The 15,229-nt window shown below is 38.6% G+C and overlaps 1 pseudogene; it reads left to right on the top strand.

Annotated features, from left to right (window-relative positions):
* On the top strand, positions 9,097-9,393 carry RN7SL712P (RNA, 7SL, cytoplasmic 712, pseudogene; annotated as a pseudogene).

Below are 15,229 nucleotides of genomic sequence, written 5' to 3'. Positions count from 1 at the left end.
AGTATCATTATAAAATTTAAATGGAAATTAGAATATAAAAAATGAAAATCACCAGAAGTTTTACATGGAATACCAGTGTTATTATTATACTAATCATTTAAATGAATTTATGTATATGTGAAAATACATATACAATTTTTATGCAAATCAAACTATGTTATACATCACATCTTCGCTTGGGACAACTTTCCTTTTTTTATGTTTTTAGAGGTGGACTGGTGAAAATATATCCTGTTTTCTCCATTCCTAACCACTACCACCAACACAAGGAAAAAAATTTAGTGAACTACTGGTCATTCTTTCATAAATTTCTCCTGCTTCACATTATCATAGACAAATGAACATACACACATATATGTTTGTGTTTACAAAATGTCTTATAAATATGGTATCATGTTATATTCTATTCTCTATTTTTAATACTCTCATGACTTCCTCTTGGAAATATGTCTAAGTAAACTGCTATAAATTTAGATTGCTGTTTTTATAACAGCTTTATATCTCATACATATGAATGTGCCATATTTTTTTCAATAATTCTCCTGCTAAAGGGAATTAAGGATGTTTCCAATATTTTGTCATTACAAACTATAAAATCATTGGCATGCTTTTTAATCTACTATTTGTTACTCAAATTTTTTCTATTTGATGCATTTCCAGAAGTATATTTAACAAGTTAAATTGCATTATTTTAATCAAATTGTTATACTAGAGAGTTTAGAAAATAATATTTCCACCAGCAATGTATAAATCCACATCTGTCTATCTCTGATAGCAGTAAAAGTTAACTTAATTTTATTATTTTTGAAAGTGTAAGATTAGAAGTATTATTTTACTTCACTTTGCATTTCCTGGACAACTAAAGTATCTTAGCATCTTTGCATTGATTTGTTGACTATTTAGATTTCCTACTTCATTATTTGCTTATTCATATCATTTTTTCTTTTATTTATTGTACTTTATTATTATCATTTTTAAAATGTATAGTAAATTAGAGCTATTAATAATTTTTTATAAACATTGCAACATTTTTCCTATTTAATATAAGCCCTCTAATTTTGTTCCTAATATCTTTTCCCAAGCAATAATTTTATATTTTCTCAACTCTAACATTACTACCTTTCCTATTATAGCTTCTGGAATTCTTTTAGAAAAAAAAAATTTGACTGGGACTACTTACCTAATAGACACAGCTATTCCCAATCTTCAGTTTTACACAAAGATTTCTAACACTGCCTTAGTCATTGACATACACACACTAATTTGGAACAAACTTTCTGCATTTGTCCACCTTGAATGTGAGACAAAGACCTGAAAGAAAACCTGGGAAGCCATGGAGTCTAAGGCCTCAGGTTTAAACCAGACTCTTTACCCCTCATCACACATGGGAACAGAGGTTGAAAGATCGTGCAGTATTCCAGAACCAGAATGGATCATGGAAATGCATATGTGCAGAGAAAAGGCATATTCCAAACTTTAGGTTTAGATTACTTCCCAGTTTTAACTTTTTTTTTTTAAGTTCTCTATGTAACACATAGAAAGAGGTGATGAAATATTACACAGGCAACTTCAATTGCTTCAATAACTTTGTTTCCCCTGAATTGTTCAGCACTCAGTTATTGAATCTTGAGCACCACATGAAGCCAATAGCCACAAAGTCAACAAAAATTTTTCCACCATGGACATATTTTCCCTTCTTCCTTTCCATTGTGGCTGTATGTTACATTTATCTTTTTTTACATGCCCCCATACAAACACACACTCACTCATTCCAAAGATCACAATTGTTTTCCAGCCTTCAACTCCCCAAAACAAGAAACAACCAAAATGCCACTCAACAATACAATGGATAAATTAGTCATAATATATTTAAACAACGGAATGCTATATGAGTAAAAATGAGCAAACTGTAGCTACACATAAAAACATGGATGAAACTGATAACCCAATAATGACTGAAAGAATCCAGACACAAAACATGTATAGAATGTAAGATTCAATTCATTGAACATTAAAATCTGAACAAAATAAAATGAAAAGAAAGAAAAGGAGAAAGAAAAAAATCTCATTCCCAGAAGTAGAAATATAATATTAAGATATGTTCCAACTTATCAGATCATGGATGTGATGTTAAATAAAAAAACATGATTTAATGTGAACTAAAATAATACCAAATGTTCTGAGAAACAAAACCACGTGCTGAGAGTCTGGAGAGAGACCAGAGGGAAGAGATTACTATGTGACTCAGTGTAAGGCAAAGGAAACTGTAAGAAGTTAGAGAAAACGAAGAGAGTCAGAGATAGACTTCTATCAGCACCAGCTAATATAACTTGAGAGAGCAAGAGAAGAAAAGCTACTATTGAATATTTACGACCTACATGTGACAATTTTAAGTACTTGATACCTGTCCTCCCCAGCATTGATCATGAAAAGGAAGTTAGAAAACAGGATGGCAAAGATATACAGAATGAGTAGAGATGGAAGGGGGTAGGAAAAACACTGTCCCACAATGGGAATCACTAATGAAGATAATCCATATACAATATTTGTTAGGAGACAGACTGCAGCACAACACTCAAATTTAATAATTCAGTAAATTGTGTGTGCATAAAAATAGATGTAACTTAGCACAAGATTCCTGGGTGCCATGACCGTTGCAACTGTGGTTAATCTCTACCTATTGCCTACAGTGGTGGAATAAAAGAAAGTGGTTGAAAACTAGCATTTACAGAGCACTACCTGTATTCTGGGCTTCTACTTTGACAGGCAATTTAATCCGCCCAACAGTCCAATGAAGTAAAGTAGTATCCTTATCACATTTTTACCTATGAGAAAACTGTCTCAGAGACACAAAATTAGTAAGTAGCAGAGACATCATCTGAACCCACAATGCTTATTCTAAAACCCGTGTTCCTTCCACCATGTTATGTGGTGTCTCTCACATTTAATGTGCACATTAATATCATCTGAGTTTTTGAAAATTATCATTACCCAAGCCCCACTCCCAAAAATTCTGATTCAACTATCTAGTTTTAGGGGGAGGGAAAAAATGAGATAGACATAAATATATTTTTAATAATATACAAGGAAAAATTTACAAAACAATTGCATAGTTGTGTGAATCTGTGGTCCACTTCTTTTTCTTGCTGCATGGTACTTTAATTGTATAAATAGACCCCAATATATTTAAACATTCACCAGTTGTTGCAGAGTTGGGTGATTTTCAGTTAGAAACAAATATGAATATAACTCCTAATAAAATTCATATACATAGTCTTTTGATGCACAGAGGCTTTCATTTCTTGGCTTTATATCATGCATTATCAAGGAGGGCAATAGAACCCTCAGGGGTATAAAAATTGGTTCTTGAGAAATAAAAAACAAATCTTAGATGTTACAATGATTCGTGTTCCTCCAAAAGGCTACAATACATAAACAGCATAAAGAGGTATATACTACATTATAATTAGAGTATTTAAATTTCATGAGGGGTAGACATAATAAGGAAAACATGTATAAAAAGGATCTGGATGCTGGGGATGGGGAGTAAGGTGATACTAAAAAAGAAACAATACTGAAAAGTACTGTTTTATACCTAGGAGTAAAATTGCAGTTTTTGTATATGTTCATCTTTAATATGTACTGCAAAAATATCTTCCAGAATGGTTATGTTTTAAATGAACCAGAGGTGATTCTAATGTATATCAAGAATGAGAACTACAGCATTCTACCATGCCGTTCACAGTAAGCAGAACAAGCAGTACCACCAGTTTGTGGGTTAACAAGGTCCTGTCTTCCTGCCTCCTATATTTCTTGCTCAGCAACACAACCTCTAACCAGCAGCCTCTCCTCCAGGCTTTGGAATTAATTCTGTCAAGAGAATATAAAGAGATCTAGGTGATTTCATCAAGAAATGAATATCAGGTCATCCTAAACACAAATTTTAACACTGACTCTGTGCCCCAGTTTTTAACAGCAGCTCCAAGTTTTTCTATAGTTTTTCTCTGTTCATCTCTGGTACACATATTGCTGAACCCAAGTTTTTCATGTAAACAACCTGCCTTTACTACACTTTGTTTTCTGTCACTGCCTATAATGAATACCACATTCATAGAAGCCTAGCTAAGGAAAGAACAAAATAAAAACATCCTCCAAAAATATGCATATTGTTAAGGATAAACATAACAAGTAATACTATTTTTTCTTTTTCTTTTTTGTATTTTTAATTTTTGTGTATACATAGTAGGTGTATATATTTATGGGATAATGCATGAGATGTTTTGATACAGGCATGCAAAGTGAAATAAGCACATCATGAAAAATGTGGTATTCATCTCCTCAAACTTTTATCTTTTGAGTTACAATTTAATTACACTCTTAAGTTCTTTTTAAATGCACAATTAAATTATTAGTGACAATAGTCACCCTGCTGCACATAAACTAGAAAATCTAGAAGAAATGGATACATTCCTGCACACATACAACTTCCCAAGACTGAACCAGAAAAAAAAATCGAATGCCTGAACAGAACAATTACAAGTTATAAAATTGAGGCAGTAATAAATAGCCTACAAACCAACCAAAAAAAAAAGCCCAGGACCAAACAGATTCACAGCTGAATTATACCATATGTACAAGGAAGATCTTGTACCTTTCCTACTGAAACTATTCAAAAAAAATTAGGAGGAGGGACTCCTCCCAAACTTATTCTATGAGGCCAGCATCATCCGGATACCAAAACCTGGCAGAGAGAAAACAATTAAAGAAAACTTCAGGCCAATATCCTTGATGAACATCAATGGAAAAATTCTCAACAAAATACTGTCAAACTGAATCCAGCAGCGCAACCAAAAGCTTATCCATCAAGATAAAGTAGGCTTCATCCCCAGGATGCAAGTTTGGTCCAACATACACAAATTAATAAATGTGATTCATCACAAACAAAACTAAATACAAAAAAAAATAAGATTATCTCAATAGATGCAGAAAAGTCTTTCAATAAAATTCAACATCCCTTCATGTTAAAAACTCTCAATAAACTAGGTGTTGAAGGAATATACCTCAAAATAATAAAAAGCCATCTGTGTCAAACCCACAGCCAACATCATAATGAATTGGCAAAAGTTGGAAGAATTTCCCTGGAAAACTTGCACAAGATAAGGATGCCTTCTCTCACCACTCCTATTCAACATATTATTGGAAGTCCTGGCCAGGGTAATCAGGCAAGAGAGAGAAAGAAAGGCACTCAAATAGACATTCAAATGGGAAGAGAGGATGTCAAACTATCCCTGTTTGCAAATGACATGATCCTATATCTAGAAAGCCCCATCATCTCAGCCCAAAAGCTTCTTAAGCTGATAAGCAACTTCAGCAATGTCTCAGGATACAAAATCAACATGTAAAATTCACTAGCATTCCTATACACCAACAACGGTCAAGTCAAGGCCAAATCACAAAACAACTCCTATTCACAATTGCCACAAAAAGAATAAAATACCTAGGAATACAACTAAATAGCAAGGTGAGAAACCTTTACAAAGAGAACTACAAATCACAACTCAAAGAAATCAGAGATGACACAAACAAATGGAAAAACATTCCATGCTCATGGATAGAAAGAATCAATATTGTGAAAATGTCCATACTGTCCAAAGTAATTTACAGATTCAGTGCTACTCCCATTGATCAATCGCTGACATTCTTCACAGAACTAGGAAAAAAACTATTTTAAAATTCATATGGAACCAAAAAAGAGCTATTTTAAAATCATGTGGAACCAAAAAAGAGCTTAAATAGCCAAGACAATCCTACACAAAAAGAACAAAGTTGGATGCATTACGCTACCCAACTTCAAACTATTCTACAAAAAATAACAAATGCTGAAGAGGTTGTAGAGAAAAAGGAAGGCTAATACACTGTTGGCAGGAGGGTAAATTAGTTCAACTGTTGTGGAAGACAGTGTTGCAATTCCTCAAAGACCTAAAGTCAAAAATACTATTCAACCCAGCAATCTCATTACTGGGTATATAACCAAAAGAATTTAAATCATTCTACTATAAAGATACACGCATGCATATTCACAATAGCAAAGACATGGAGTAAACCTAAATGCCCATCAATAATAGACTGGATAAAGAAAATGTGGTACATATACATCATGGAATACTATGCAGCCAGAAAAAATGAGATTATGTCCTTTGTAGGGACATGGATGGGGCTGGGGGCTATCATCATTAGCAAACTAACACAGGAACAGAAAACCAAATACCGCATGTTCTCACTTATAAGTAGGAGCTAAATGATGAGAACACATGAACACATAAAGAGGAACAACACACACTGGGGCTTATTAGAGGGTGGAGATTGAGAAGGGGGAGAAGATCAGGAAAAATAACTAATGGGTAATAGGCTTAATACCAGGGTGATGAGATAATCTGCACAACAAAACCCCATGACTCACGTTAACCTATGTAACAAACTTGCACAAGTACCCCTGAACTTAAAATAAAAGTTTAAAAAAAAAAGAATGTTGAATGTTGACCCCCAATGTCTTCTGGCTTGAAGGGTTTCCACTGACAGGTCTGCTGTTAGTCTGATAGCTCTCCCTCTGTAGGTGACCTGGCCTTTTTGTCTAGCTGCATTTAATATTTTATCTTTCATTTTGACCTTGGAAAATCTGATGACTATGTGTTTTGGGGATAATCTTTCTGTGAAGTATTTTGTGTGGGTTCCTGAATGTGAATGTTGGCCTCTCCAGCTAGGTTGGGGAAGTTCTCCTGGATGATATCCTGAAACATTTTTTCCAAGTTGCTTACACTCTCCCCATCTCTTTCAGAGACACCAAGGAGTTGCAGATTTGATCTCTTTACATAATCACATATTTCTCTGAGGTTTTGTTTATTCCTTTTTATTCTTTTTTCTCTACTCTTGTCTGACCATCTTATTTCAGAAAGCCAGTCTTCAAGGTCTGAGATTCTTCTGCTTGGTCTACTCAGCTATTCATACTTGTGATTGCATTATAAAATTCTTGTAGTGTGTTTTTCAGCTCTGTCAGGTTGGTTACATTCTTTTCTATACTGGCTATTTTGTCTGTCAGCTCCTGCATCATTTTATTGTGATTCTTAGCTTCCTTGGGTTGAGTTTCAACATACTTCTGCATCTCAATGATCTTTATTGCTTTCCATATTATGAATTATATTTCTGTCATTTCAGCCATCTCAGCCAGGTTTAGAACCCTTGCTGGAGAGGTGGTGTGGTCATTTGGAGTAAAGAAGGCACTCTGGCTTTTTGAGTCATCAGGTTTCTGGCACTAGTTTTTTGTCATCTTTGTGGACGTATGCCACTTCAATCTTTGAAGTTGCTGACCTTTGGGCGGTTTTTCTTTCTTTTATTCTATTTGATGACTTTGAGGGTTTGGTTGTGGTATAACGTGGATTCAGCCAACTGGCTTCATTTCTTAGGGGGTCAATGCTCAGCTCTCAATTTCTGGACTGCCTGCTGTAGCTCTGAGGGGCTTGTATTGGGCCCTGACTTCATTCTCTGTCTCCTCAAGGTTAAGAATCCACTCCACTTTGAGGGCCAAGGTGCTCCCGAACCGCTGGTCACTACAGATCAGTGAGTAGTGTCTGGAAAAACATTTTGTACTGAGATGACAACAGTTTCCATCTTCGTTCACTCATGCCAGCAGCAGCAACAACACAGCAGGTCCCACATTCCTCAGTTGCCACAGGGTGCTATCAGGTGCCTGCCTGTCTGCCTCCATGCAGGCATTCACTGCAGTGGTAGAGGTAAGCGGGCTCAAGGAGGCAGGGATAGGGGCCCTGCTGGAGACTGTGCTTATGGTCACACTGGTGGTGGTGCTGACAAAGGGGGTGGGGAATTGGTGGGTGCAGGTCTTTGTGTGTTCTCTGTGTGCTGCAGGCAGGGGTGGTCACTCAGGGTGGGTAAGGGTCCACTGTTCTCTGTTCCTAGTTTCACTCCTGCAGCAGTTTTGGTGCAAGTGTGGGGTGCTGTTGGATGTGGGGTTGGCTGGCTCTGTTCTCGCCAAAGCTCTGACTGCAATGGTAGTTGGCAGGGGGAGGCAGAATAAACTGCACACCTGACACAGCAGTGGCAAAGAAATGTAGGGGTTGCCATGGGCCTGGGGGAGAAGGGAAGGAGTGGGCTGGTGTGTGGCCCTGAGGGCCACCCCACTGGAGATCTCTACCAGTCAAGCATGGTTCACCAGTCCAGAAGCCATGATGCAGGCTCCCAGGGCACTTGAGACTGCCCTGCAAGCAGGTGCTGCCAGGCTTGGGCCCTGGGAGAGACAAGTAGACCAAGGTTTGCTCATATAAAATCAGCCCCTTCTGATGAGCAAGACAACCCTGTAGAGTTCAGGTCCAAAAGGTTCCCTAGGGCTAAATCTCCTATGGCAGCAAGTCAAGGCTAAGAGAATGGCCATCCCTGGCTATACTCCACTACAGATACTCCTGAACCAAACCATTTGGGTTCCTCATCAGCTGGCTTTCTACCCCTACCACTTCTCTAAGCAGCTCTCCTTGCAAACTCAACTGTCCCTGGTAGTAGAAGGGTTTCCCTCAGCTGGGATTCCAGAGGCCAGTGGCAAGAGTGAGTTGCCCCTTGCCAGTTCAACTCACCCATTCCCCCATAGTCATTGGGGGCCAGGAATGAGTCCTGGTGTGCAGTCGCCCTGTGCAGGGTTCCCGGATTTCTCCCTCTTCAGCCCACCTTCTGTATCCTCCCTTTGTCCACTCTAGGCGCCTTCCTTCTAAAGATATGTTGGAAACGCACCAGACATCTCGGTCCCTCATAGCAAATGTTCCACCTGACTGCGTCTAGTTGGCCATCTTGCTCGATCCTCTTTATCCCTTTGAATAAACTTTCTACCCCTATCTTTTTCTCTACCTCCTCTTTAAAACGAATAACTTTTAGATTTGACCTTTTGAGGCTGTTTTCTACATTCTGTAGGTGTGCTTTATTGTTTTTCCTTCCTTTTTCTTTCGTTTCCTCTGTATATTTCCAAATAGCATGTCTTTAAGCTCACTAATTCTTTCTTCTGCTTGATTAATTCTGCAATTAAAGGGCTCATGCATGGGGTGCAGTAGTGCATGCCTGTAGTCTCAGCTACTTGGGAGGCTGAGGAAGAAGGATTGCTTGAGTCCAAGAGTTCTGGACTATATTGCACTATGCTGATCAGGTGTCCGCACTAAGTTCGGCATCAGTATGGTGACCTCCCAGGAGTGCGGGACCACCAGGTTGTCTAACGACGGGTGAACTGGCCCAGGTCAGAAGCGAAGCAAGCCAAAACTACCATGCTGATCAGTAGTGGAATCATGCCTGTAAATAGCCACTGCACTCCAGCCTGGGCAAACATAGCGAGACCCCGTCTCTAAAAAATAAATGACTCTGATGCATTCTTCAGTATGCCAATTACATTTTCCACCTCCAGAACTTTCACTTGATTCTAATTTTTTCAATCTCTTTGTTAAATTATTCTGATAGAATTCTGAATTCTTTCTCTGTGTTATCTTGAATTTCTTTGAGATTGCTAAACACAGTTTTTTGGGGTTCTCTGTCTGAACGTCCCCATATGCCTGTTTCTCCAGGATTGGTCCCTGGTGCATTATTTAGTTCATTTGATGAGGTCTTGTTTTCCTGGATCGTGTTGATGCTAGTTGATGTTCTTTGGTGTCTGAGTATGGAAGAATTAATTATTTATTTTAGTATTCACTGTCTGGGCTTATTTGTACCTGTCCTTCCTAGCAAGACTTTCTAGACATTTGAAAGGACCTGGGTGTTGTGACCTAAGCTCTACCTTCTTTAGGGAGTACCCTAAGCTCAGTAACACTGTGGTTCTTGCAGATTCGTGAAGGTACCACCTTGATGGTCATGGACCAGATCGAGGAGAATTATCTGGATTACCAGGCAGAGACTCTTGTTTTCTCTCTTTCCTTTCTCCCAAACAGAATTTCTCTCTCTGTTCTGAGCCACCTAAAGCTCAAGGCAGAGTTATACAAGCACTTCTACAGCCACCACCACTATGACTATGCTGGGACCTGAAGCCAGCACAGTGCTGGGTCTTGCCCAAGGCCTGCTGTAACCACTCCCTAGCTACTGCCTATATTTTCTCAAGGCGCTGGGGCTCCACAATCAGCAGGTGGTAAAGCCAGTCAGGCCTGTGTCCTTCCCTTTGGGGAAGAGAGATCCACCAGACCCTAGGTGGGTCCAGAGGTGATGTCCATGAGTCAGAAACTAGAGTCAAAACCTTAAAAGTCTAACTGGCGTTCTATTATATTGCAGCTGAGCTGACACTTAAACCACAAGATGCAGCCTTTTCCACTCTTCCCTTCCCTTTCCAGTGGCAGAGGATCCTCACTATAGCCATCATGAGCCCAGGCTACATGGAGTACTGCTAGACTACCAGCCAATGTTCCCTTAAGCCCCAAGGGCTTTTAAGTCAGCCTGTGGTGAATGCTGACTGTCCTGGGACTCACCTTTCAGGTCAGTGGGCTACCCTCTGGCCCAGATCATGTCCAAAAATGCCATCGAAGAATCATGTCCTGGAATCAGGGACCCCCAAGAACTAACTTGGTGCTCTGGCCACCTTTGGACATGCTGGTACCTAAGCTGCAAGACTAGGTCCCCTTTACTTTTCCCTCTGCTTTTCTCAAGAAAAATGAGTTTTGCTCCATAGCCACCTCAGCTGGTAATGTGTTGAGTCTCACCTCAAGCCAGTAAGTCTCAGATTATCACCAAGGCCCAAAATGTAGTATCCGAGTATCGTTGCTGGTTTTTCAGGGTCCAAGAGCTTTTAGTTAGCAGGTGATGAATGCTGCCAGGACTGGGTCCTTTTCTTCAAGGCAGTAGGCTCCCTTCAAGTTCAGATGTGTCTAGAAATGTCATCTGGAAGCTATAGCCTAGAATGGGAGCCTCGTAACTTTGTCCAGTGCCCTATTTTACCATGGCTAAGCTGGTATCCAAGATGCAGGACAGTCTTCCGCACTCTTCCCTCTCTTTTAATCATGTGGAAGAAAGAGGTCTCTTTTGGAGCTATGAGCTGTGTGGCCTGGGGTTAGGGGAGGTGTGATGCCAGCACTTCCTTGGCTGCCCCAGCTGGTGTCTCAGTGTGTCAAATGTCCTACCGAGTTCGCTGTCTCTGAGCTTAATTTAGCACTAGGTCTCACCTAAGCATTGCAGTTTTATAGCCTAGACTGCCTTTCAAATCTACTTGAAGACACAGAGCACTGTAGTCCTCTATGGTTAGGTTTGCAGACACTCAAGTTCAGACCACTGGGATCTGTGATTCCCCTCTGGCTATGGCTGGTTTAAATGCTCCCTCCACGAACAGATTTCAGCTGAGTTTGGTTTGGTTTTCCTTTCTGCTCTAACAGGACAGCACCAAATTCAATGCCACACAATTGCTGTGTTTTCTCTCCCCCAGCACTCAGAGATGCTTTACATACCAGGCCACTGCTGCTGCGGGTGGGGGGGTGGGGAAGGGTAGCCTCAGCGATTCAGGACTGTTTTCTCTATCTCTTCAGTTCATCTTTTAGTGATATGAAGTTAAAACCAGGTACTATGAGTGCTCACCTGATCTTTGGGTTTTACGCAGGTGTTTTTTTGTGTAGATGATTGTTAATTTGGCGTCCTTGCTGGTGGTGGGGGAATCTAATTGGCAGAGCCTTCTATTCTACCATCTTGCTCCACCTCCTGAGTACTCATACATAGTTTTAAGATGATATGTTGACATAATTATTTTGGCTGAGACCCAGAGAAGCTAGTCAATGTAGTCAACGAGTATTGTCTTATTTTTTAACCTGCTTACCTCCCTACCAGCTAATACCATGCCCACTCACATACTGGTCCACCCTTTTGTACCCTCCCTCTGTACTTTCTGCCTTCTGAGCTGGGCTTATTTTTATCACTGGAGGCTGAGTCTCTCCTCTAGTATTGCCCCATTACAGATATCTCACCTAACTGCAGTTAAACTTTTATGGGTCCCAAGGTATCTTATCAGTAAAAGGAGCAAAGACTCCCTGTACCTTTCTGAGAGATCAGTTTTATTGTATGAAGTGATATACCCAAACTGAATTATAATTTATATTTTTAATTTGAAAGTTATGAATGTTTCTTTTTGGCTTTCTGATGCTCTTTATTTTCTACACATGGCTACATTTAGATGATCAAATTATACACTCAATTAGGGACAAAATCATTTTACAATTATAAAATCCTTATTTAAATAAAAACAATTAGTCATTGCTTTTCTGGGTTTTTTTTTTTAATATTGCTAAAATCGGATAGATGTTGAACTGAAACAGCATTTTTTGGGCAGTAACTGGGAAAACCAAATCTTCATTTACTACTGGCTGTCTCACTAAATCCAGGTTCAACCACCAACAGCAATAATTTTGTGTGTGTGTGTGTGCGTGTCTGCATTTATGTGTGTCTCTGTGTGTGTACATCTGTATTTATACATGTGTGTGTCTGTCTGGGTGGTATGGGTACTGAGTAGGTGGTCTGTGTAGCTCAGGTAGCCAGATAGCACTTCCACTGCTATAAGTTTAGCAGGACTCTAGCTAGAGTATACTAATTTAGCATCTCTGGTGCCTAATCAACATACGAAAAAAATGTTAACTTTGTTAGCTTCCATTATATCCTCCGACACAGATTAATCCTCTCAAACATGCCTAGACTTTCAGAGCCTCTGGACTAAGTAAAAGGACAGCAATTCCTTTGAAAGAAAATATTGGTTCAGAGTATGAATAATGGAAAAACAAGTCTACTATTTTTAAGTTGCACTTATTTTCAGTTGAGTAAAACTGAATCGTGGTCTCCCTCTGGTGCCCAAAAGGGGGGTAGCTGACAGATTATTTTAAGGCTTTTTCTTCTTTCTTTTCAGCAAGCTGACTTTAAGTATTAAAATTCTATTCATCTTTGTTAAGTACACACGAACAAACACACAAAACATGGCATATGTATATATCTCTTTGTTTATCTATGACCAGACCATAACACACTGCTTGGAGCAGGATCAAATTACAGACAAATTATGGGTGCTATAATTTGGATACCAGCTGATTATGCGCTAAAATTGTTTTATTGCAGAGCATAAAGAGTTCAACAAAATATTAAGCTCTTGGTATTGAACAATTCTGCGTATGGTAAACTAGTGTCTGAAAGAAGAGGTAATTTAATTTTTTTGGAGTTGGACGAAATCTAATAAATTTACACTGACGGATGAGCATCTGCAATATGTCTAAAATCAGATTATACTATAGATTTTCTTTTGTTTTTACTGTCTCCATTAGGTGCTTTCCATTGGACAGTGTTTTCCGCTCTATATTGTCTTAAAAGTTGTAATTCTTTTAATGTTCTATAGTTTTTTTACCTTAATAACTATTCTCATGTTTATTTGCTCTTTTTTTGTATCTTAAAGATATTAATATTTATAATTTCTCCAGAATAAAAGAAGTTCAGCATGCTCTATAGTTAATTTAGTTTCCTCTCATCTCCATTATGTTAATTTAGGCTATAAGCTTAGTTATGGGTTATGATAAATATAATTTCACTTTTTATTTCCTTTATTCCTAAAATTATATTTAATTTTACTGTGAAGTCATCAATACATTTAGGAAAGAAAGTTGATCATTTGAGCTTGCTATATTCTTGGCACCCTTGTTTGGATTTGCTTCTCTTCTAATTTGGTACTCCTTGTTGGGTTTTCAATGTAGAGTCTTATGTACAAAACCCCCTAAGGCCTAATATTTGGGAAAATATTTTTATTATTCCCTCATATTTGAATAAAAATTTGGCTAGATAAAAATTCTAGGTTCAAAGTTCTTTTTATTATTATTATACATTAAGTTCTGGGATACATGTACAGAATGTGCAGCTTTGTTACCGAAGTAAACAGGTGCCATGGTGGTTTGCTGCACCGATCAACCCATCATCTACATTAGGTATTTCTCTTAATGTTATCCCTCCCCTAACCCCTCACCCCATGACAGGCCCTGGTGAGTGATGTTCCCCTCCCTGTGTCCAGGTGTTCTTATTGTTCAACTCCCACTTATAAGTGAGAACATGTGGTGTTTGGCTTTCTGTTCCTTTGTTAGTTTGCTGAGAATGATGGTTTCCAGCTTCGTCCATGTCCCTGCAAAGGACATGAACTCATCTTTTTTATGGCTGCATAATATTCCATGGTGTATATGTACCACATTTTCTTTATCCAGTCTATCATTGATGGGCATTTGGGTTGGTTCCAAGTCTTTGCTATTGTAAACAGTGCCACAATAAACATACATGTACATGTGTCTTTATAATAGAATGATTTATAATCCTTTGGATATATACCCAGTAATGGAATTGCTGGGTCAAATGGTATTTCTGGTTCTAGATCCCTGATGAATCGCTACACTGTCTTCCACAATAGTTGAACTAATTTACACTCCCACCAACAATGTAAAAGTGTTCCTATTTCTCGACATCCTCCCCAGAATCTGTTGTTTCCTGACTTTTTAATGATCACTGTTCTAAATGGTGTGAGATGGTGTCTCATTGTGGTTCTGACTTGCATTTCTCTAATGACCAGTGATGATGAGCTTTTTTTCATGTTTGTCGGCCGCATAAATGTCTCCTCTTGAGAAGTGTCTGTTCATATCCTTTGCCCACTTTTTGATGGGGTGGTCTGATTTTTCCTTGTAAATTTGTTTAAGTTCTTTGAAAATTCTGGATATTAGCCCTTTGTCAGATGGATAGATTGCAAAAATTTTCTCCCATTCTGTAGGCTGCCTGTTCACTCTGATGACAGTTCTTTTGCTGTGCAGAAGCTGTTTAGTTTAATTTGATCCCATTTGTCAATTTTGGCTTTTGTTGCCATTGCTTTTGGTGTTTTAGTCATGAAGTCTTTGCCCATGCCTGTGTCCTGAATGGTATTGCCTAGGTTTTCTTCTAGGGTTTTTATGGTTTTAGGTCTTATATTTAAGTCTTTAATCCATCTTGAGTTAATTTTTGTGTAAGTGTAAGGAAGGGGTCCAGTTTCAGTTTTCTGCATATGGCTAGCCAGTTTTCCCAGCACCATTTATTAAATGGGGAATCCTTTCCCCATTGCTTGTTTTTTCTCAGGTTTGTCAAAGATCAGATGGTTGTAGATGTGTGGCATTATTTCTGAGGGCTCTGTTCTGTTCCATTGGTCTATATATCTGTTTTGATGCCAGTACCATGCTGC

Source organism: Homo sapiens, chromosome X, assembly GCF_000001405.40.
Source record: "Homo sapiens chromosome X, GRCh38.p14 Primary Assembly".
Classification (NCBI taxonomy): domain Eukaryota; kingdom Metazoa; phylum Chordata; class Mammalia; order Primates; family Hominidae; genus Homo; species Homo sapiens.
This window is presented reverse-complemented; position numbering and strand designations above follow the sequence as displayed.